At 33.8% G+C, this 25453-nt stretch overlaps 1 long non-coding RNA gene across 1 annotated transcript in view; it reads left to right on the top strand.

Moving 5' to 3' along the window:
• The window catches only part of LOC107985242 (uncharacterized), a 199987-nt gene that overhangs the window by 32422 nt on the left and 142112 nt on the right, over positions 1–25453 (top strand). The window lies entirely within an intron of this gene.

Below are 25453 nucleotides of genomic sequence, written 5' to 3'. Positions count from 1 at the left end.
AAGTTGATCCTTAAAATTTTCTGTATGTCTTATAATTAATGTTTTCCAGATTTGGATTCTGATGTAATGTTGGAGATTTTTAAAAATAGTAGCTAATTACTGTTACTTGTCTGAATAATTTTTGTATATAAATGAGTTTTGAAATTCCGTTTCGACACTAGCAAGGAATTCTTTTTTAGCAAAGTCATGAACGAATTTCAGGATACCCTTTCATCAGTGAAATGTTCTTATGCATTTTCAGTGAGGGACTTTATGTATTATGACTTTTATTGCTTCTAGCATCTTTGTGTTATTTGGCAGATTTTAAGATTTAAAAATGTTGTATTTGAGAATAAAGTTGCTATTTCCAAAAAATTTCTAACTTTATAGTTCATATTGTTCACCATTTATTACGAAGGATTCCTGGGTGATTTAAAAATTATAGTAAGAAAACACCACTACCCAGACATTAGCTATTTTTCCTTACAGTTCTATCAGTTTTAGCCTCATATATTTTAATGTGTTATTATTAGATGCATACATGCTAAAGATTGTTATGTCTTCTTACAGAAATCATCCGTTTATCATCATGCAGTGCCCTCCTTGATCCTTGATACGTTTCCATGTTCTGAAATCTGTTTTTTCTGTATGTTTTAGTCTGCTTAGGCTGTTATAACAAAATAAAACAAACTGATGGCTTAAGCAAATACATTTAATTTTTCACAGTTTTGGAGGCTGCAAGTCCATGGTCAAGATGCTGACAAATTCCTGGGTTTAGATGGTCACTTTCTCACTATGTCTTCACATTGCCTTTCCTTGGTGCATGGGAATAGACCATGTCTCTTAAAACAGCACTACTCCTATCAAATCTGGGCCCCAGCTTTTTGATGTCACTTGACCTTAATTACTTCCTTAGAAACCCTATCTCCCAACATAGTCACACATGGGGTAAAAACTTCAGAGTATGAATTTTGCAAGAATATTCATTCCATAATAGCATGGTGTCTATTTTTCCATCCCTTTAGTTTTAATGTATCCAAACATTTATATTTAATGAAGGTTTCTTTTAGACAACATGTAATTAGATATTTTTAAAAATTCATTTTGAGGATATCTGTATTCAATTGAAGCATTTATACCACTCACATTTAAAGTGACCATAAATATCTATAGGTCAATAATTACCATTTCTGTAACTGGTTTATATTTGCTATATTTGTGCCTTGTTTCTATATCCCTCTCTTTTTTGCCTTCTCTGGTTTTAACTGAGTATGTTTTATTATTCTATCAACTACATTTTAAAAATTTGTTAGTTGTTGCCCTAGAGATTTCAGTATACATTTTTAATTAATGTAAGTCCGTTTGCAAGTAACACTATGTACATTCCCATGCAGCGCAGGCACCCTTTAACAAATCCTCCCTCCTGCCCCTTGTGATATTGTTGTTTATTTCGTTTATCTACATAAATGAAATATGGATAAATTAATTAATATATTTTATTATTATTACTTTCATAGTTATTTCTTAGGTCAATTAATAAGTAAAAAGGAGCATTTTTGTTGTTGGTTTTTTTGTTTACTTTCAATTTCTTACTCAATGCTGTAACCATTTTTTGCAGACTGAAGTGTCGACCTACATCATTTTTCTTTCTTTTTTCCTAAAAAACTAATTTTAATATTTCTTGCGGAGCTTGTCTGATGGCACTGAATTCCCAGAATTTTTTAACTAAGAGTCTTCATTTTTCCTTTACATTTAAAAGATAATTTCACTGGGTGTAGAATTCAGGTGAAAGGATGTTTATCTTCTTTCAACATTTTAAATATTGTACTGCCATTCCTTGCAAGGTTTCTGATGAGAAGTCTACTATAATTATTATTCTTGTTCCTCTGTAGGTAAAGTTTTTATTTATTTGGTTGTTTAATTTTTTGGTCTCACTTTGTTCAATATTTTCTTTGTCTTTTTGTTTTCTGCGGTTCAAAAGGATATGCCAAAGTGTAATTTAATTAATTAATTGTTCAATAATTTTTAGTCTATTTTGCTTTATATGTATCTGGGTTTGTGTGTTATTAATCTTGGAAAGTTGTTGACCATTTTTTGTGTAGTTCATTATCCTGACCTTCCCCCAAATAATTCATGTAGGATCTCCAACTGACATGTACCAAGAATATAAAGTTTTGATATTATTTATGAATGATTTTCAGACACAAAATTGAAGAAACACTGTTTCAGCTTGTATTTGTGGATAATGTATACACTTTCAACATTTAAGGAAAGAAAAATGCCTCCATAAACTTACTTATTAAATGTACGCTATTATCAACCATTACTTAAAATATGTTCTCTAGTAGAACTAAGGAAAAAGTGAATCTTTGAACTCACTGCAGGCATTTCCTTAGATTGTGATGCCTTGGGTCAATCTCTGAGTCTGATGACAGTACCCAGACTCTTCCATTTCCATTAAAGTTATTACCTGACTTTCTGCTGCTGCCAACAGTAAGTGCCCGGTGCTAGCCCTAATTGACCTACCTGCAGATCCTTTTCCATGCCTTCTTTGCGGATTTCCAGAACCTGCAGCCATTGCAGGTTTTGTTTTTTATTTCTTTAAAAGTAACTAGTTCTACCACTATAAAACTGACAATCATAAACGTAAAAGGGGAAAGAAAGAAAATATTTTAGTTTTTGTAAGCACATTTTGAAAAGGGTATCTTCATTCACCTGTGGTTGTATGTATAAATTAATATGTATTTCTGGTGAGCAGAATTCAGAGCATCTTAAGAACCTTGTTTTTATATTTTTAGGAATTTTCCCTGTAAAAAGATTATAGCTAAGCACAAAGACTCATATTTAAGGCATATTTAGGATAATTCATTAAAAAGTTTCTTTTATTGGAGAAAATTGAAAAATTATAATCCATAATAAAGGGATTACTAAGAACAGTATGGAATATATGTAACATGAAATGCCGTGTAGCTAATCATAATTTTATAAGGCTCTTTAATGATAAAAGAAGGATAACTGGTTTTAAAAGTAAATATGGATTATACTCATTTTTGAAAGATGTGTGTATAACAAAAAAAGAAATAAACATAAACATATGGATTACATATGTGCCTAATATTAAATATACCATTTAATATCATATTCTAAAATATTTAATATGCTTAGATTAAGTTGTATGTTTGGTAAAATACAATCACTTCCTTTAATCTATATAAATTCTTAGACACAGTGAATTTTTCATCAGTGTGGGTAGCAGAGAAAGAAAGAGTAAACTTCAAAACTTATCCTTAGTTTCTGTATATTCCTGCCTAACACAACTCTTATTAACCTGATATCTTCCATGGGAAAACAGCAAGCAACTAACTCAATTTCAATTACTCCTCCAAAATCATTTCTGAAATGTACAGTTCCAACAAAATGATTTTACACAGAGTATTGTTTTACATTATTTAATTACCATATTATCTTTGAGGAAACTTAGGACTCCTTTTGGACTTTGAATTTGCTTCTTTGTGGGCTAAATTTTTAAGAAATCATATTATAAAAAGAAATAGCAGTATTTAAAGCGAAGTTATTTTTTTTAATATAGCACTTTTTAGTGTTCTAAAATATAGTTGTATGCTCTTGTTTCTTTGTTTCTTTTCAGATTGTATAAATCTTTTGCCTTTTACTAAAACAGTTACCTCTTTCACATTCTATATTATCATATGATAACTAAGGCAATATTTTCAGATTCAAAGGATTCCCATTTTATAAGTTAAAAACTGTTGTTTTTGTGTTAAGCTATTATCTTTGTTTACTATAAGAAAAATAAAAATAAATAAATACATTAAAATAAATTCAAATGCTTATGTAATTCAGAGATAGTGTTTTAAAATTCATTTCTCTGTATTTGAAAATATTTTTCACTTATACCTGGAAAAAGAAGATGCTAGGTACTGCCTTTTTGGGGGGTCCAGGGATTGGGATTTTCTTTTTTTTTTTTTTCTTTCTTTCTTTTTCTTTTTTTTTTTTTTTTGAGATGGGGTCTCACTCTGTCACCAGGCTTGAATGCATTGGCGCAATCTCGGTTCACTGCAACCTCCCGCCTCCTGGGTTCCAGAGATTCTCCTGCCTCAACCTCCCAAGTAGCTGGGACTACGGGCACCCGCCACCACGCCCGGCTAATATTTTTGTATTTTTAGTAGAGATGGGGTTTCACCGTATTAGCCAGGGTGGTCTCAATCTCCAGACCTCGTGATCTGCCCACCTCAGCCTCCCAAAGTGCTGGAATTACAGGCATGAGCCACTGTGCTTGGCCAGATTGAGATATTATTTAAGTATAATGTTATATAGTTGAGTATTGAGAATGGTATGATTTGGGTATGGTTTGTTTGGCCCTGCCAAGTCACCAAGTCTCATGTTAAAATTTGATCCCCATTGTTGGAGATGGAACCTGGTAAGAGGTGGGAACAGATCTCATGAATGTCTCAATACTATTCTCGAGTGAGTGAGTTCTCACTTCTAGTTACCTCGAGCTGGTTGTTTAAAAGACTTTGGCACCTCCTCTATTCTCTTTCTCACCATGTGAGCTGCCTACAGTAGCTTCCCTTGACGTTTTGCCATGAATAGAAGCAGATACTTGAGGTTCTCACCAGATGCAGATGTTGGTGCCATGCTTCTTATACAGCCTACAGAACTATGAGCCAAATAAGCCTCTTTTCTTTACAAATTACCTACTTCTGCTATTCCTTTATAGCAACACAAATGGAGTAAGACAGAGAAGAAGGCAGGGGAACTTCTAATATGTGAGGTTCGAATCAGCCTAGTTGTGCTAACTCTGACAAGGTGGTCAGGAGGTTTCAAAAGGAATCAGTGGCCAATTAAATGCTTTCAAATTCACTGTTCACTATGAGACTTTCCTAAACCATCAATCATGCAAATATATTCAACATACACACAAGCAGTAATAACAAAGAGGGGAAACAAACCATGGCGAGTAGCTCGGGAGACCAGCGTGCTGACAGATGGGGAAGGTCCGAATTTCTTGATCAAGAAAAGGCCACAGAATTCTCACAGGCAGAGCTTCTGCAGACGTCTTGGCCATGGTCAGTTTCTTTGCTGTTTTCATGGCCTGCACAAGTGTCCATGGTCATTATCTCAGCTGCCCTTTTGACTTCACTTTTTATCAGGTCTTGGGGATGCCTGACCATTGCAGGTATTATTACCTCAGTCCACCATGCATATGGTTATCACTTTGAGGGGTCATCAGTTTCACTCTAGGCTGAGTCACTTGTCATAAGTGACTCCATTTGGAGACATTTAGGATTACAAGACATTATTATTTAACAATCTCAAAGCTTATTCTTACATTTCCATATATCCCTGCCTAACCCAACTCTTGTTAACCTAATATATCCCATGGGAAACCAATAAGCAAATTCTGATGTGTATATTTCACACTGTAAAGTCAGGGAGGAGTTGGGGGCAGGGAGCAATCCTGCTCCTATGTAACATATGCATAATAGACATAACTATGTACCCATGATCTATATGACTGATTTTTATGTCAGACAACTGTGTTCTACCTAGCATCAAATTTGATGTGTAGTTGAAGGAAAATAACATGCTTTCATCAGTTTTTAAAACACTACATAGTTAACTTGCTATGAAAGCAAACCTTACAACAACAATTCCCACTAATACCAGAATCTCTTATAATTACTTTTTGCTGTTTCCATATGTTACACTTGAACATACAAACATGCACACTTTTCAAGCTGTTTTCATTGTTTTCAGTTATTTCACACTCTGACAATCATACCATTAGTTAAAAAAAATGAGCACCAGCTGCTTCATACTGCGACTTTTCTTCTCCCTATTGAGTTATACTGCCATCCTCTTACAGTAATTTGAATAATTAGGCTTAACTTCTTGCTTTTCAGCCTACAACTGTAATCAATACATGTTGTTGGTTAGATATCCACAAAAAAACTTTCATCTTCACTACCACTTCCTCATGACAAAGATGCAAAAATGAGACTTCAGCATTGTCACGATTTAAGATGCTGCCCAATAGTGTTCAATTTAATAATATACTTTATGGGTATTTATGGAAATTTGACATTCTTTGTTTTTGTCTTACCCTCCTTTGTGGGTTCACACCAAATACGCAGTCTGTTCCACTGTAGTTAGTCTTGTGTGTGTCATTGAGGACAGCCTCTGTATGTTTACAATTGTCTCTTTTTAAATCAAAGATCCAAGATTTAGTAATCTTGTAGTACTCTTTCAATGTAATGATGCTTACTATTGTAGCTTTTTTAGTTAACATCTAAAGAGATATCTTTGAAGATAGCACTAAACTAGCTCATTTTAAAAGCAACATTAGATTACTAAATTTGCCTTAGTTCACAATCCATGACCATTAGTTTCTTAATGGATTTGGGAAACTCAATAATTCCTGCTTAGATTACATTTTATTAGATTTGGATGTCTTTCATACTAACTTTTAAAGATCTGTAGACAGTATAATCAGATTAGAGTTTCAGTCTCAATGGCTTACAATATAACATTTTTATTGGCTCTTCACAAGCACCTAAAGTCACACTGAGAGCAGTATAATACCGAGTGTTCACAAAATTAAATTCAGAAGGTGAGCAATTGGCATATTCTTCCATTGGATAATTGTTTTTTTCTTGTCAGGATTCTATTTCTGTTTTGTTTTAACATATTTCCATGGTTATCAGAAAGGAGAAAACATAAAAGGTCATATATGGTTTATAAAATAAGGAATGGCATTTAAACTAAGAAATCTACTTGTTATTTTCTACATAGCTTTTATGACACGTGCAGTAATTAAGTGTCGCATTACCTTAATTGAAACGTATCTATTTAATTAAGGTACTAGGAAATAAAGGCCATGCAATATATTTCTTCCTAAATACTCACTAACAAAACAATATTTTGAATGAAGCTGTTTTAATAGTTGACTTTACAATTGAATATAAAATTTTCATAAATATAAGAATGAATTATCAATAATTGATAAATGCAAAGCAATACAATCAATATCACTATAAATGCATAAACAAATGGTATGTATCAGCATTTTATGAATCATTGAACATAATATCTTATGTAAATTGGTTTTAAAATGGGTGTGTACAAATACAGAAAATATATTTATCCATTTATTTTTAAAAAGTCAATTGAGATGTAAAAGGCAAATTTATGTTGCTAGTGCAAAATATATACACATGTGTACAATTCAGAGAGCCATTCTTTCTATGGGAACACTTCTTTTGATAGTCACACTCCTTTAGTTTCTAATTGAACTGTGATCCTTGAGGCATTTGCTGATGATGATTTCTATACATTTCTGGTGCATAATATCTGATATGTTTTACCATGTTGCATTTGGAACTGCCTGCATTCTGTCATTGCTGACAGTAAAGAACCAGAGTAAGACAGGGTAGACCAACTTCTGGATGAAAGTAGGGTTCTAAGTTTAAACACTAATGGGAGAAAGATGAAATAATCCTAGTTGGCATTTCCTTCTCTCAGTTTGAAGAATCCTTGCCCAGTTGCTAATATGGTAGCATCAGTCACCGCAAGGATATGTTGGTAAGACATTTTTGAGTCTGATCTCATATGTGTCAAAAGTACTGTGCTTTATCTAGTTCCTCTGGGCAACTGCTTTTTCCTTCAATGAGCTTCACATATTAGCTTATCATTATATCCCACGACTGTTCCTTTCAATGAATTATAAGTAACCCAAACTATAAAATATATAAAATTAATAGTTTTTGGTGACCATTGGTCATAGTTAACTTGTTTTTTTTCTACTTGACTTGGCACATCTCTACTCTGCATTATAACTTGGGGACCACATAGATTATTATCCAAATTGGGATGACAAGGCTGAAAATGAACAGAACACTATTCATGGGAATGGGTATATAAAGCAGTACTGTCCCAGGAAAACTCATTTGCAGAATTATCCGAATTATAATACTTTAGGAAGTATTTTTAAAAAGTAATAAATATTACATGAAAGGATGAGATATTTTATATTGATAACTTGTTCATATATATATATGATCATATATATATTCTCACAACTTAGAATGTCAATTCTTTGAAGCCTGGGGCTGTCTTTTGTAATTATTTTAATTGTCTCCAAAGTGCAAGCTTTTTTTGTAAATAAATGTATATAAATGGAGTACCTACTATACAAACTGTTTCATAATTATTCTCATCATGACCTAAGTGTCTTAAATTTAGAGTGATGATGAGAATAGCAAGAATGGTAATTTTTGAAAGCTGACATTTTGTGTATATAGTAGGTTGTTGCTTTAATCCTCCAACAACCATGAGAGTGTTTCATATTACTCTTCTCCACTGAGTTTTAGCTAACAAGTGGCATGGCTTGATTAGAATATTCCTAGAATAGACTGTTAATCACTTCTTTATACTGTCTCTCATTCTACTGATAGCTCATTATATTTTCCTGTACTTCACATACATTTTAAATTTTCACAGTGAGTTAACTATGATATTGTTATTGTTATATCAAAGATTAGGAAACCAAAGCTCATCAAATTGCAGTTAACATATGTGACAGCATTTTTTACCTAGAACTAAATCTAAAGCAGGAATTAACAAACATTTTTTTTCTAGAAGGCCGAATACTATTTTTAGGTTTTTTTTACATCACATATAATCTGTATTACATATTCTTCTTTATTAATATTTTGCAACTTATTGAAAAGGAACTTAAGTCCATGGACTGTAGTTTGCTGACCTATGCTCTAAAATAGGATAATTTCACTATGCTATATATAATAAAATAAATTCTTATTAGTTGTATGAGATGCAAATAAATATATGTTTACTTTGTGACTTTTGCAAAATCTTTATGCCAGGTAAAATAACTGAAGAATTTTTCCAAATCTATACATATTTTCTTTCTTTTTTTTTATTATTATACTTTAAGTTTTAGGGTACATGTGCACAATGTGCAGGTTAGTTACATATGTATACATGTGACATGCTGGTGCGCTGCATCCACTAACTCATCATCTAGCATTAGGTATATCTCCCAATGCTATCCCTCCCCCCTCCCCCCACCCCACAACAGTCCCCAGAGTGTGATGTTCCCCCTCCTGTGTCCATGTGTTCCCATTGTTCAATTCCCACCTATGAGTGAGAATATGCAGTGTTTGGTTTTTTGTTCTTGCGATAGTTTACTGAGAATGATGATTTCCAATTTCATCCATGTCCCTACAAAGGACATTAACTCATCATTTTTTATGGCTGCATAGTATTCCATGGTGTATATGTGCCACATTTTCTTATTCCAGTCTATCACTGTTGGACATTTGGGTTGGTTCCAAGTCTTTGCTATTGTGAATAGTGCTGCAATAAACATACATGTGCATGTGTCTTTATAGCAGTATGATTTATAGTCCTTTGGGTATATACCCAGTAATGGGATGTCTGGGTCAAATGGTATTTCTAGTTCTAGATCCCTGAGGAATCGCCACACTGATTTCCACAATGGCTGAAATAGTTTACAGTCCCACCAACAGTGTAAAAGTATTCCTATTTCTCCACATCCTCTCCAGCACCTGTTGTTTCCTGACTTTTTAATGATTGCCATTCTAACTGATGTGAGAAGATATCTCATTGTGGTTTTGATTTGCATTTCTCTGATGGCCAGTGATGATGAGCATTTTTTCATGTGTTTTTTGGCTGCATAAATGTCTTCTTTTGAGAAGTGTCTGTTCATGTCCTTTGCCCGCTTTTTGATGGGGTTGTTTGTTTTTTTCTTGTAAATTTGTTTGAGTTCATTATAGATTCTGGATATTAGCCCCTTGTCAGATGAGTAGGTTGCGAAAATTTTCTCCCATTTTGTGGGTTGCCTGTTCACTCTGATGGTAGTTTCTTTTGCTGGGCAGAAGCTCTTTAGTTTAATTAGATCCCATTTGTCAATTTTGTCTTTTGTTGCCATTGCTTTTGGTGTTTTAGACATGAAGTCCTTGCCCGTGCCTATGTCCTGAATGGTAATGCCTAGGTTTTCTTCTAGGGTTTTTATGGTTTTAGGTCTAACGTTTAAGTCTTTAATCCATCTTGAATTGATTTTTATATAAGATGTAAGGAAGGGATCCAGTTTCAGCTTTCTACATATGGCTAGGCAGTTTTCCCAGCACCATTTATTAAATAGGGAATCCTTTCCCCATTGCTTGTTTTTCTCAGGTTTGTCAAAGATCAGATAGTTAGTAGATATGCGGCGTTATTTCTGAGGGCTCTGTTCTGTTCCATTGATCTATATCTGTTTTGGTACCAGTACCATGCTGTTTTGGTTACTGTAGCCTTGTAGTATAGTTTGAAGTCAGGTAGTGTGATGCCTCCGGCTTTGTTCTTTTGGCTTAGGATTGACTTGGCGATGCGGGCTCTTTTTTGGTTCCATATGAACTTCAAGGTAGTTTTTTTCCAATTCTGTGAAGAAAGTCATTGGTGGGAGACTTTAACACCCCACTGTCAACATTAGACAGATCAACGAGACAGAAAGTCAACAAGGATACGCAGGAATTGAACTCAGCTCTGCACCAAGCGGACCTAATAGTCATCTACAGAACTCTCCACCCCAAATCAACAGAATATACATTTTTTTCAGCACCATACCACACCTATTCCAAAATTGACCACATAGTTGGAAGTAAAGCTCTCCTCAGCAAATGTAAAGGAACAGAAATTATAACAAACTATCTCTCAGACCACAGTGCAATCAAACTAGAACTCAGGATTAAGAAACTCACTCAAAACCGTTCAACTACATGGAAACTGAACAACCTGCTCCTGAATGACTACTGGGTACATAACGAAATGAAGGCAGGAATAAAGATGTTCTTTGAAACCAACGAGAACAAAGACACAACATACCAGAATCTCTGGGACACATTCAAAGCAGTGTGTAGAGGGAAATTTACAGCACTGAATGCCCACAAGAGAAAGCAGGAAAGATCCAAAATTGACACCCTAACATCACAATTAAAAGAACTAGAAAAGCAAGAGGAAACACATTCAAAAGCTAGCAGAAGGCAAGAAATAACTAAAATCAGAGCAGAACTGAAGGAAAGAGAGGCACAAAAAACCCTTCAAAAAATTAATGAATCCAGGAGCTGGTTTTTTGAAAGGATCAACAAAATTGATAGACCGCCAGCAAGACTAATAAAGAAAAAAAGAGAGAAGAATCAAATAGACACAATAAAAAATGATAAAGGGGATATCACCACCGATCCCACAGAAATACAAACTACCATCAGAGAATACTACAAACACCTCTACGCAAATAAACTAGAAAATCTAGAAGAAATTGATAAATTCCTCGACACATACACTCTTCCAAGACTAAACCAGGAAGAAGTTGAATCTCTGAATAGACCAATAACAGGAGCTGAAATTGTGGCAATAATCAGTAGCTTACCCACCAAAAAGAGTCCAGGACCAGATGGATTCACAGCTGAATTCTACCAGAGGTACAAGGAGGAACTGATACCATTCCTTCTGAAACTATTCCAATCAATAGAAAAAGAGGGAATCCTCCCTAACTCATTTTATGAGGCCAGCATCATCCTGATACCAAAACCAGGCAGAGACACAACCAAAAAAGAGAATTTCAGAACAATATCCTTGAAGAACATTGATGCAAAAATAATCAATAAAATACTGGCAAACCGAATCCAGCAGCACATCAAAAAGCTTATCCACCATGATCAAGTGGGCTTCATCCCTGGGATGCAAGGCTGGTTCAACATACCCAAATCAATCAATGTAATCCAGCATATAAACAGAACCAAAGACAAAAACCACATGATTATCTCAATAGATGCAGAAAAGGCCTTTGACAAAATTCAACAACCCTTCATGCTAAAAACTCTCAATAAATTAGGTATTGATGGGATGTATCTCAATAAGAGCTATCTATGACAAACCCACAGCCAATATCATACTGAATGGGCAAAAACTGGAAGCATTCCCTTTGAAAACTGGCACAAGACAGGGATGCCCTCTCTCACCACTCCTATTCAACATGGTGTTGGAAGTTCTGGCCAGGGCAATTAGGCAGGAGAAGGAAATAAAGGGTATTCAATTAGGAAAAGAGGAAGTCAAATTGTCCCTGTTTGCAGATGATATGATTGTATATCTAGAAAACCCCATTGTCTCAGCCCAAAATCTCCTTAAGCTGATAAGCAACTTCAGCAAAGTCTCAGGATACAAAATCAATGTGCAAAAATCACAAGCATTCCTATACACCAATAACACAAACAGAGAGTCAAATCATGAGTGAACTCCCATTCACAATTGCTTCAAAGAGAACAAAATACTTAGGAATCCACCTTACAAGGGACGTGAAGGACCTCCTCAAGGAGAACTACAAACCACTGCTCAATGAAATTAAAGAGGATACAAACAAATGGAAGAACATTTCATGCTCATGGGTAGGAAGAATCAATATCGTGAAAATGGCCATACTGCCCAAGGTAATTTATAGATTCAATGCCATCCCCATCAAGCTACCAATGACTTTCTTCACATAATTGCAAATCTATACATATTTTCTTAGCCTCATTACATTGATTCACAATGCCTAGTCACTTTAAATTGATAGACAACAACTAGGCAACCAGACACCTTTCCTTATCAGTTTATGAATTCCTTTGGGTCACTCAACATGGCATATGTTCTGAGAAATAGGAAGATCATGGGCTGTAGGTCCAGATAGCTTCCATTTCTTTTGTTTTGTTTTGTTTTTGAGACGGAGTCTCGCTCTGTCGCCCAGACTGGAGTGCAGTGGCGCGATCTCGGCTCACTGCAAACTCCGCCTCCGGGGTTCACGCCATTCTCCTGCCTCAGCCTCCTGAGTAGCTGGGACTACAGGCGCACACCACCACGCCTGGCTAATTTTTTGTATTTTTAGTAGAGACGGGGTTTCACCGTGTTAGCCGGGATGGTCTGGATCTCCTGACCTCGTGCTCCGCGCCTCAGCCTCGCAAAGTGTTGGGAGCTTCCGCGCCCGGCTGATAGCTTCCATTTCTATCACCACTTTACCATAGTCCTGGGCCGGTAGATGTACCTTGCTGGGCCTCAGAATCCTCATCTGTCAAAAGTGATTAAATGATATTAACAAACTGTTAGGGTTGTTACAATTTAGAACAGTGCCAGGCACTCAGTAAGCCCTCAAATATTAGTTATTTTATCATTATTTTTTAATTCTAGCTAGAGTCTTCTACCTAGAGTTACAATTACTGTGATATTTTAAATTTATTTCAATTAAATAACAAGTCAATGAACTATAACAATATAAGACACAATTGTAACAAATATAGAGGGCTCAGTATATTTTTTAAATTAATAAGGCAACATCTTTGCCCTTTAAAGACATATGTTAATTACCTGAGAAATATCTGCCTGTATACCATGAATGGTATTGTGGTTCAGTCACAAGGCGCCATATACCATACTCTGCTGGATTAACACTCTGCACTATTAGAGCAAATAGCAGAGGCTGTGTAGAAAATTCATAATGTTTAAAATACGTTGCAAAATTGGGAAGAATGTAAGATATGGAAAGACTGGGCGACTAGTGTAATAGTAGGCTTCCAAAACCAAGTATCACAAAGTGTATTGCAGTCATGAAGATAAATACAAATTAAACTGAGATAATTCATACTCAGGTTCACCAACATTATGAATGGTCCTGAATGCCAAAGCATGGTCTATATACTTGCCTCAATAGACTATCGAGAGCCATTGAAAATATGTCTCTTTTTAAAGAGTTACACAATTTTAGGATGATTCATCCGGCAGGGAAAGAAAGGATGGTTCAAAGCCACAGGAGCATGCATGTTAGAAAGCTAAAGCAATAGTTTAAGTGGGAGGTAATCCAGGTTTAAGGGAGCATAATTGCAACAAAATGGATAAAGTTGACTAGAAATAAAATTTCAACTGATAGATTCTACAGGACTATGCATTTTTTTTTGCCACTACCAAATGTAATTAAAGATTAATACTTGGCCTAAATCGTCTTACGGTAGGGAAAATCCTGCACCATTAGAAGAGGTGGCAACTTGAGAGAAAAATCTTAGGAATGGAAGAACTAATGGAGAGCAGACAGAATAAATGATCTCTGGACAAAGAAGAAATTAGATAAATGAGGATTAATTTGATAGTGAATCTAGGGAACTAGGTGAAAACTTTGAGGCAGGTAGGAAAAGAAACAGCAATAATTCCCAGTACTTTTCCAGGAAGTTGTTTTCTAGGAAATGAAAACATTTAAAAATTAGCTTGAGAACTGCCAGTTTCCAATCCAAAAAATATAAAGAAGGAGAAGAATGAGGCAATATGTGGAAAAAATTATCTGCCTTCCCTATATTTCCTATCCGTGAATTCAAAATTTTAGATTTTCTGCTGATTTTAACTATAAACTATCTGAAGTTATACATATTTATTTATTTATTTTATGAGTAGAACAGTCAAAGATTTTTTTTTATTTTTTTTTATTATACTTTAAGTTCTAGGGTACATCTGCACAACGTGCAGGTTTGTTACATATGTATACATGTGCCATGTTGGTATGCCGCACCCATTAACTCGTCATTTACATTAGGTATATCTCCTAATACTATCCCTCCCCCATCCCCCCACCCCACAACAGGCCCCGGTGTGTGATGTTCCCCTTCCTGTGTCCAAGTGTTCTCATTGTTCAGTTCCCACCTATGAGTGAGAACATGCGGTGTTTGGTCTTTTGTCTTTGCGATAGTTTGCTGAGAATTATGGTTTCCAGCTTCATCCACAATAGCAAAGTTATAGATATTTATAAGTTATGTGGGAGTATTGAAAAACTCTGAAAAGTGATTTCAGAAAGATCTATGACCAGGAGTCCTTGAAATCTTAGAAATAATTGAATTTAAATTATAAGTCCTGTGAGGACTGGGTCTAAGTCCTCTTTACTTGCACTAGCATAATTTCTAGCATATGGCAACATTCATCTAATATGTAATGAAAATCTATTGATCTTCACGTGTAAAACCTCACAGAATTTAATTCTTTTAGTATTCTTCCTTTTGGGATATTTTTAATGTCTTACTATTTTGTGTACCAAAAAGTAAATGGCCACTTTGAAGCCCTGTTTTCCTGTACCTCAATTGTGTGGGTTTCTAAAAATATGCTCAAGCATAGCCATCCCAAGCATCATTAACAATTGTGTTAGTTAGCTGCTGCCACAGTAATACCAAAACGTAATGATTTCAAACAATAGTAATTTCATGTCTAGTGTTCTGTGTGACAGTTGCAACTTGGCTGGAGTAGGCTGGATTCCAACCTTCAAGCTTCAGGTTGGGTTGGAGTCTGCTCTTTCTGTTTCCTTTTCTCTTTGGAACAGAGTTTCCTAGAACATATGGTATGCTCTATGTAACCCATACTGATGCATTGTCTACCTGGGAAGTGATCTTCTTATGGCAGAACACAGGAGGTAAACCCCAAGCTCACCATTTTCGGTTTCCACTGAGATCACATCCTTTACCATGCAGTTCACTGGCCAGTGAAATTCACACGGCCAAGCCCAAAATCTAATGACAGCAGTGGAGACTCTGACCAATAAGCAGACAGAGCAAGACCAGAAATGTATACTATCCTGAAAAGAGAGGAATTAGAACCAATAATTTATTTGACCACAACATAGGATCTCTTACCTCCAGCTAGCTCCTTGGCTCTTTCCTCAGGCACTTTGCTTGTGTGAATCTGCACTTTATCAATATTCCCTTGGATTATGATTACAAAAATGGATCAGACTCTTCTTTCTGTAACAAACAATAGCAAATATCTGAGAATACTTGTTAAATATCAAACTGGCACAAATAAAAGGCTTTTTCTCTTATGTTTTTATTTGTTTAGTTTGTGCCAGTGAGTCAGCAAATAGGCATGTTTTAATCAGTGAGATCCTGTACTTTCTAATAGCCAATATCTCCAGCACGGACTTGCTATAAACTTTGTCGTGTCTTACATCTCCAGCGTTAAGATATTGTCACTGAATATGTCCTCTGCATCTAAAATTGATTCTGTCATGTGTGTTCAGTGAATTAGTGTTAATTTAAACTATAAATGAATTAACTGAATAATCAAAAATATACCAAGTACTTACATGTTTGATATAATGTAAGTAATTGATATTGGGGTGTCTCTTAATTTAAGATTTGCTCTGTGGTGGAAATTAGATGGTTCCATAGTAAAATATACACAGTTTCAAATATCAGGGTCTCTGCTTATTAGATGTGTGCCCTGGGGAAATATTTTAAACCTCTCTTTTTCTGTATGCATAAAATGGGTTATAATATCTATTATATATTCTTTATGAAAACTAAGTTACATAAATCATGTGGTCCAGTGTTCAGTACATTTAATTACTAAACATTTTTCACCCATTCCCCAATAGATTTTTTTTCTTTTTTTGAGTGAGAGTATCTCTCTGTCACCCTTGCTGGAGTGGACTGGTGCAATCATTGCTCACTGCAACCTCAACCTTCCTAGGTTCAGGTGATCCTCTCACCTCATCCTCCCAAGTAACTGGGAATATAGGCACAAGCCACCACGCCCGTCTAATGTTTTGTATTTTTTGTAGAGACAGAGTTTTGTCATGTTGCCCAGGCTGCTCTCCAACAACTGGGCTCAAGTGATCAACCTGCCTCAACCTCTGAAAGTGCTAGGGTTGTAGGCATGAGCCACTGCGCCTGGCTGTCCCATTAGATTTAACAATATTTTCATTGCTTTGCAATGGCAATAATCAATAAATCTAAGAGCCTATTTTTTATATCAGTTTTGTCATTATTTAAGATCTGGTTAGAAAAGTATATCTTTTTTTTCAAAAAAAATTGCATAATATTCACTTTGACTTTTAAGATTTTTGCTTAAAAATATCAAATATGGACCTTCTAATATTTTGTCCGCTTTTGATCTAATGATTTTATGAAAACTAAGTGAAATAAAAACCATCTTTTGGTAGTTCTTAATAATGTTATTTTTGTAGCTTCATGCCCCCAATGTTCAAATAAGATAATCTTATAACTATCACAAAAGAACATACTATTTTTAATTAAAGTTAATCAATTGAATTGTTTTTTTTGAAAATGACATTCTATTTTTGCAAGAGCAAATAAAATGTTATTTTCAACAGTACATTATATCTTGTTTTTCTCATCGTATCTTCCTAAGCAGCTTCACAGAAGAATTGAGGTGCAAATGAATAAAACGTGTTTATCACAGTGGGTGATGGGAAAATGACAAGTTTCACATCGTGCTTTTTTCTTAGAGGATGTCAGAAAAGGGAGGAGTTGAGATGGTCAGAAAATAAAATGAACCATCAAAGGACTGAATTTAGAAGTAATTATTTCATTTTTATTTTCTCTAGAAGTTTTTAAAATTATATTTTACATTAGAATAAAGACAGAATCTAATGAGTTTAATTTTAATTATATGCACCATTAAAATTTAATCAGTATAGATAATTTCTTACCTAACAAACTAAAAAGTTGCGTATTTTCAGATGATAGTATATCATGTATAATTTAATTATTGTAATTATAACATATTAGGTTGGTGCAAAAGTAACTGTGGTTTTTCTATCCAAAGTAATATATAAAAATATGTACAGTTTCACTTCCGATTTTCATTTGGAATTATAAGTCCACAGCTCAAACCAGCTTAGTGAACCAACTTCTAGTAGCTTTGACTCTACAAGCTTTCGAAAAATGCTTGAAGGAAATAGAATTTTAAGGAAATAATGATGACAGTATCAGAGATGGAGCTTAGTAATAATTATTAAAAATATAAATTAACAGTTAAGGTTGCAACACAACATGTCCAATAGTGGTCTATTATTGAATAAAAAGTCTTTTTATATCTAAAAAATATATAAAAACTGCCCTTAGGGTGGGGAGGTGACAGACACAAGCTATAGAGAGAATTGGTGTTTTAAAGAAAAAGCAAAAAAATCATATGTAAATATTTGCAATTATGTAGTAAAATAAAGAATGTCTGGTTTTTAACTGACAAACTATCCTACTGTCCACTTGTTCAAATCAAATATCTTGAGAAATCTTCCAGGTAAGTCATTAGTTACAGTCTGTTTAATTAGGCACATTACTCATAAAACCATTTTTCTTTGGATTATACTTTAGAAAACTATAATTTAAAAGTATATAATAAAAGAAAAAATAAATAGATACTTAAGTAGGAAAAGAAATGCTCGATGAATTCTTACTGCTGCTGCTCAGAGATATGGGGGTTTTATTGTAGAGGATGAGGATGATGATTCCTTTTTTTCTTTTACTAGTAACTATGAAAGTCATTGAAATTTGTGGAAAGTTAAATCCAATGAAGGACTTTGGGTAAGAACACATAGTAGACATAAAAATATGTTACTAGAGAAGTAAATAACCCTTAGGTTCTTAACACTTTACTACATAAATGGTTTAAGTAAAAATTTGCTTATAGGCAGAGAAATAAACTATATTATTTGCCAAGTTTCTTTTAGCTTGATGATTGATCTGTACATAAAGATAAATGCTATTATGAAGCGATTGCAGTGGAACTTACAGGACACATTACCAAAAAGTTATATTAAAAAATAAGTAATAATATCATATCTTTACTTTCAGGAAATATCTTAAGTTCCCTTTTAAATGGCTTGAGCACAAAGTGGCAATAAAGTGAAAGAAGAAGATGACACAGTTTTATGAGTGTTTTGATATAAGGTGCAGGAGGCTCACAAAGTATGGAGTTACTATGGGTAATATATTTCCCATGGCTTTCATGAGAGTCATTGATTCTATCACTTTAAAAGTTTATTAATACCTGGAGATATGTACATATACTATGAAATAAATAAGTGTGGGATGAGTCAATTATACTTAGTTCATTGACAGGTGCAAGATAATTATAAACTGCAAAAGAAGCTAGTATAGTAATTAACAACTATAGGCTTCTAAAAAGCTCAGTACTCACAATTCCACTTGGAAAAGAGAAATAGAGTAGAGAAGAAATTGGAAAAAGCCTAAAAGAGCCTAACAAATACAAATTAACTATTTTGAACCATAGTGTTATTTATTAAACATTAAATTTTAAAGTGTAAAATGTACCAATAGTTATAAACATAAATTTCCAAAATATAAATAGTATTTTGTCCCCTAAATGTATCTTATACAAAGTTCTATCCTAAGACTTCTTATCTTTTCTCTCTATTCTTCCATGATTACTACATTTACTTGCAAAGCAACAGGCTATGTGCTGACATTATGTCTTTGTGTTTAATTTCCATGATATTTCAAACTTGTTTATGCTACCTTATGTCCTCACTACTACTACTACCACTATTGTCACTTTGATTGTCAATGTCTGTAATATACACAAGGTTGCCCATGGCCTGTTTTACTGATTTTAACATTCACACACACACACGCACTCATGCACACACATTTTTTCTTGAAGCCACTTATATTTCTGTACTTCATCTGAACTAGACCTCTATGATAATTTTTTGATCAAATACTGTTTATATATTTGAAATATTTCCTTTTCTCTTCTCTTACATAATTCCGTCAACTAGCTTTTGAGAAGAAATAATTTTTATCTTTTACGTTGATATGATATTTTGCAATAAACATCGTATAACACTTCTCACATTCTGAATGCATTACAATACTATTTGTGTTTATTTCTGCTCTTAGATTGCAAGCTATTTAAGGTCATCTTTTTCATCATTGCATTTTCTGAAATAAGTGATGGTTAGTATGTTTGCTGAATTGATTTGAATTGGCAAGATCAAAAGTTATGGTTTAAGACTAGGAATTTGCAGCGCAAGAGACAATTGAACAAAGCAGACCTTTAGCAACTGTGCTAGAATAGCATCATTTAGCACCATCAAAAATGAAGTTGAGTGCTTAAATGATTTGCATAGCAATCTTTTGCACGTATTCAACATTGTCTAAGTACGTATGTTATACTAAGAATGATGTTAGTATTGAGATACAATGACAAAGAGTTAAAATCTCTTCCAGAAGTGGGGAAATATAGCATGCAAGCAATCATTTACAATGCAGTATTATAAATTCAATAATACCACTAGGCAGGAGATCATCTGGTAGCATAGAGGACAGAGTTCCTATCTTTGTTAGCGTTATGGAGAGCTCAAGGGAGCTCACAATGGCTTCATGTATGAACTCCTGACATTTTAAACTCTTTGCCATACATAAATTCTTCTGAGGAACTCGATAATTCTAAAGACCTTTGTAAATATTACATCAGTCATCTTTAGTATATGAATCTTGCATAGCTGCTGAAAGAGCAATTCAATTGATGAGGGAAGATGGGTAAATAAAACATTGGAAATCCTTGGTATCTATAAGTTGATTAAAAAATGGCAAAAAGATACAGGACCAAGAATTCTATAGTTTGATAATCTGGAGTTTATATTTACATTTTATATTGCATTATAAACATAAAATGCTGATGGAAAGAAATTTAAGCAGATTCGTAGATCACATAAGGACAAATACTTGATGATGCAGTAAGGAATTTTGCCCTCCTTCCAATTGTACTGTTATAGAAAACTTTAACAATGATTCATTTCTTCCCTTCATTCAAAGCACAGTAATGGGCAGCAATTTTGAGTAAAGATTTCTCCAGGTGCTAGGCATACAGAAATTAGTACATCATTGTCCTTGTCCTCAAATGTGTTACATCACTTTGGGAATGACAAATGCATAAGCAATTTATGGCATTTTGATTTGATGAGTATGAGCTCATGTATAAAATGTCATATTATATCTATATTGTATTGTAAAAATATTGTATTCCCTTCAGTATCAGTATAATAATAAATGAGATAGTGTAAATAAAACTTTGTACAGTCCGTGTTAAAAGAAGATACTTATGGTTGGTATTAGAGATGAGTACAAGACTCTAGCTTGTATAGAGGAGGGTGACTTGGCATGGGAGCACAGTAAGATAAAACTGAATGCCATATGATGAGTCTCTTCCAAATCTTTCCAGTCGTCTTTCATTTATCTCTTGCTCTCATACTTTATTTCCAATCAGCTAGTACATTTTCTTGCTTCTACCTTCAATTTCTGACCATGTCTTACCATTTTCCTACTACCCACTTTTTCTACACTGAGCCAACATCATCTTTCACCTGGATTATTGATACACCTGCACTTGTCCCCGTAATGTCTGTTTTCCATTCAGCAGCCAGAAAAATACAATTAAAACATAAATAAGTTCATGAAACCTCTCTTTACCAAACCGTCACATTGGTTCACTGCTTTTCCAGAGCAAATGGAAAAGTCCCTACAATAAACGACCAGGCTATATGTGATATATGTGATTTGCATCTTTTTCCTTTATATATATATATATATATAAAAAATATAAAATTTATACATGTATATATAATATATAATATATATTTATATATGTATAAATATATAATACATAAAAATATATTCATATATGTACAAATATATAATACATAAAAATATATTCATATATGTACAAATATATAATACATAAAAATATATTATATTTATATATGTACAAATGTATAATACATAAGAATATATTTATATATGTACAAATGTATAATACATAAGAATATATTTATATATGTACAAATGTATAATACATAAGAATATATTTATATATGTACAAATGTATAATACATAAGAATATATTTATATATGTACAAATGTATAATACATAAGAATATATTTATATATGTACAAATATATAATACATAAGAATATATTTATATATGTACAAATATATAATATATAAGAATATGTTTATATATGTACAAATATATAATATATAAGAATATGTTTATATATGTATAAATATATATACATTTACTTGTATATTGTTTTCTCATACTGAAATATAAACTCCATGAAAGAAAGGACTTTTGTCTATATTGTTTGCTGCTGTGTTACCAGAACTTAAAAATAGTTCCTATCACATAGTGCTCAATAAATTTTTGAATGAATAAATGATATTAAAGAATGAATAGGCATTTATCAATTGTGTAAGAGAGAAAGAAAAAACATCCTAAGCAAGAAGCTGGCATATAAAAGTCAAAGAAATCCCTGAAGATGGTACTGTAAGAATATATGCATATTAGAGAACAGAAGCAGATGTGGTTGGAGAGATAGACAGGGGACATGGCTTCCTGCATCATTTACATACTGGGCCAAGTCTAAGGTTTTTTTTTTTTTTTTCATTTCTGAGCCAGGAAAATTGTGATAAAAACACAATAATATATATTTTCTGTTTTTAAATGGCTATCCTCTAGCCCTTGCCAATGGCTTACCTACATGCTCGTATTATCTTGTTAATTTGAAAAGGAAAAGTTAAGCAGACACTTTATAAGCTTCTTATCAAGAAACACAATAGTAAGTCAATAGCACACCTTCTGGGTATGTTGCATGTGAAGAGACAGTAAATTAAGAACTATATTCCATATTCAGATATTTTTTGAGGTTTATTGCTTCTTCAGTGTTAGAACATTTTAATTGGTTTCTTTTAACTTTGAAAAATATACTCTAGAGATAAATTCATTTATAATAAAGGTCACTACCTAACATTAAAAGGCAGTATTTCCATTAACATTTTATGTGCTGGTATATTTAACAACAGTGAAAAGACACTTTAAGGAAGCCTCCTCTTGTTTTAAAAGGTCAATACACAAAATGTATTTTAAAAATTCTATATTAATAGACCACATTCTATAATTCAAAATTATTTAAAAACTATTAGAAACAGAAAATAACCAAATAATTTACCAATATACAAAATAAAACATTGACGTACTAAATAATATTCAAACAGTGAGGTTCTTTTTGATTCAACTTATGGTTTTATCAACAATGGGGAGAATTAAAAGGGTAGATAATGCCTATATGGGCAAAGCGAAACTTTGAGCAATTGTATAATAAACTTGGTAAATTAGTTTTGGCTATATAATCCTATGTTTAAAATACCGGATTTCTTTCTGTCTCCTCTTGCTTTTCCTCAAGAGCATCATATTCATTGATAAGAGAAGAACTTGTTCTAATTTCTGTTCTGCCATTCCTGGTTGTGCAGACCTGGGCTAGTTACAAGAGTTGGTTTGAGGGCAAAATCAGATAATGCATGCAGAAGTTCTGACACATTTTAAGTGTTAATTAAATATTAGCCTTTCTCTCTAATTTTAGTATCTTCTTCTACTCTTCACTCCCTCAAACTGCTGTTTCTCAAGGACTCCCTTATGGATAGGAAAGCGATACAGTTATTAACCCACTACATAACCTCTGGTATGGCTTCATGTTTAAATGAATATTTATTGATTAATATAGAGAGAGTTATGATAATAATAACTCATTAAGTACTTAATATTTGGCAGACACTAGCCTTCATGTTTTCTTATATAAATTTGTTTTATTTTCTTGGTAACTCCTTGAATAGATGCAATCATTATCTTGTTATGATATAGAAGGTAACTGAAGCATAGAACAAGTACTGCGTTTTTTTTTTTTATAGTAACAGAACCTTTAAGTGGGAGAACAGAATTTAAATACATAAAACTTGGCCCTGTATTCTGTTCTCTTGGGCACTGCTCTAGGTTTAGGGAGAAAGAGGGATACCATTTGCAGAACCCATATTTTCAGTGTGTTTGAGAAATAAGGTATTCAGATATGCTTATTTAACCATAAGGCCATCATTGTTCATCCTAATAATACAACTCATATTGTTGCTGAAATATTTTACATAAATGTCTAGCATTATATTTAGTCTGTGGTTTTGCAGACCCTATGATTTCTCAAATCAGGAGATCTCCAGTGACAGTTTTGTTACATGTTAGAGTGAATTTAAAGTGTTTTGATTATGTTTTATTTATTTTTTGAGGCAGAAATACTGTTGAATGAGAGGGGAGACTTCATATTTGCTTTGCATAGAAAAAATAAACATTTTATTTCTTTTTTCAGTTTTTTTTTGTGGGGGTTGAGAGTGGTTCTGTTTTCCAAATATTTTCATATATCCTCCATAGAACTTTAAATGATGTTTCACATGGTGTACAGGCTCAACAATATCTCCTGACAGGCAAGAATAGGAATAAAATAGTGAAGAATCCTTTCTAAGCTTGTATTCTGGGTAGTGAGACTTTGAATAATGAGGCCAAGGCAGCAATTTTCATCTCTATGTGGCCTCTTAGGCTCTGCTCTGCCGTAGTGTCATGAGCAGCAAGCTTATACTCTAAAGAATGAAGTGTGCTGCCATACCCGAAGGCAAAGCCCATCTGCTTGTTCTATTTTTCTTCTCATGCTCAGCCAAGTTCTAGAGAATAATAGTCCTGGGCTACAGGAAAGCATTCAGCTACCACAGCTTCCTAAACTAAAATTTCTGACATATGGCTCATGATAGGAAATGTTCAAATAAATAAGCTTAGGTCTAGGTGCTGTTCTGGATCCAGTCCCTAAGATTGAACTGCCATTTGGAGTAGAGATCTATTTACAAGTACGAATGTTATATATTCAGAATGAAGTATAGATACCATAGCGAATGAGTCAGCAACCTAGGTCCTCATTCCAAATAAACAGCAATAGTTTGTTCAAATCAGAAAACAACAACAACAGAAACAAACAAACATTATTGGGTAGATGATAAAACAAACCTGGGAAGCAATGGCTATCAGGCATATTTGTTGAAAATGTTCTATACTTAGGCAGAAGGTATGCATTCTGGTAACTTGGAGGGAAACTAATAAAAGTTGGCAGGAGCTCAATCCTAGAAGGAAACTTAGTCATAGGGACATGACAATGAAGGACAAAGTCTAAGGGAAATATGGCACAGAGGAGAGCTTGGCAGTTGGTAATGAAATGAGAAAGCAAGAGAGATTGATTTCTTCTCATGTTACTCCTCATGGTTGGCAGGGTATACGTATACCCTGAATATGGTCAGGGTTTACCACTGGGCTGGAGATAGTTTTAAGCATCCTGATGACCAGATCTCATGGAGAGCAAAGTAAATTGCATTGGAACTGACACTCATTTCTTTTGTATTGGGATAATCTTTCTAATCACAGATGGAATGGTTGATTTGTATTTCAGGATAAGTTACTCCCATTGACCATCTTCCCATTTCCCCCACCTCTCATCTTCTCATAACCGTCATTGTGCTCTCTACCTCTATGAATTCAATTATTTTAGATTCCACATTTAAGAAAGAATATGTATTTTTCTTTCTGTGCCTGGCTTATTTTACTTAGCATAATGTCCTCTAGATTCATCCATGCTTCTGCAAATGACAGAATATCTGTCTTTTTTTTTTTTTTTTTTTTTTTCCGGAATCTCGCTCTGTAGTCCAGGCCGGAGTGCAGTGGTGTGATCTCGGCTCACTGCGACCT

Source organism: Homo sapiens, chromosome 1 (assembly GCF_000001405.40).
Source record: "Homo sapiens chromosome 1, GRCh38.p14 Primary Assembly".
Taxonomy (NCBI): Eukaryota; Metazoa; Chordata; class Mammalia; order Primates; family Hominidae; genus Homo; species Homo sapiens.
This window is presented reverse-complemented; position numbering and strand designations above follow the sequence as displayed.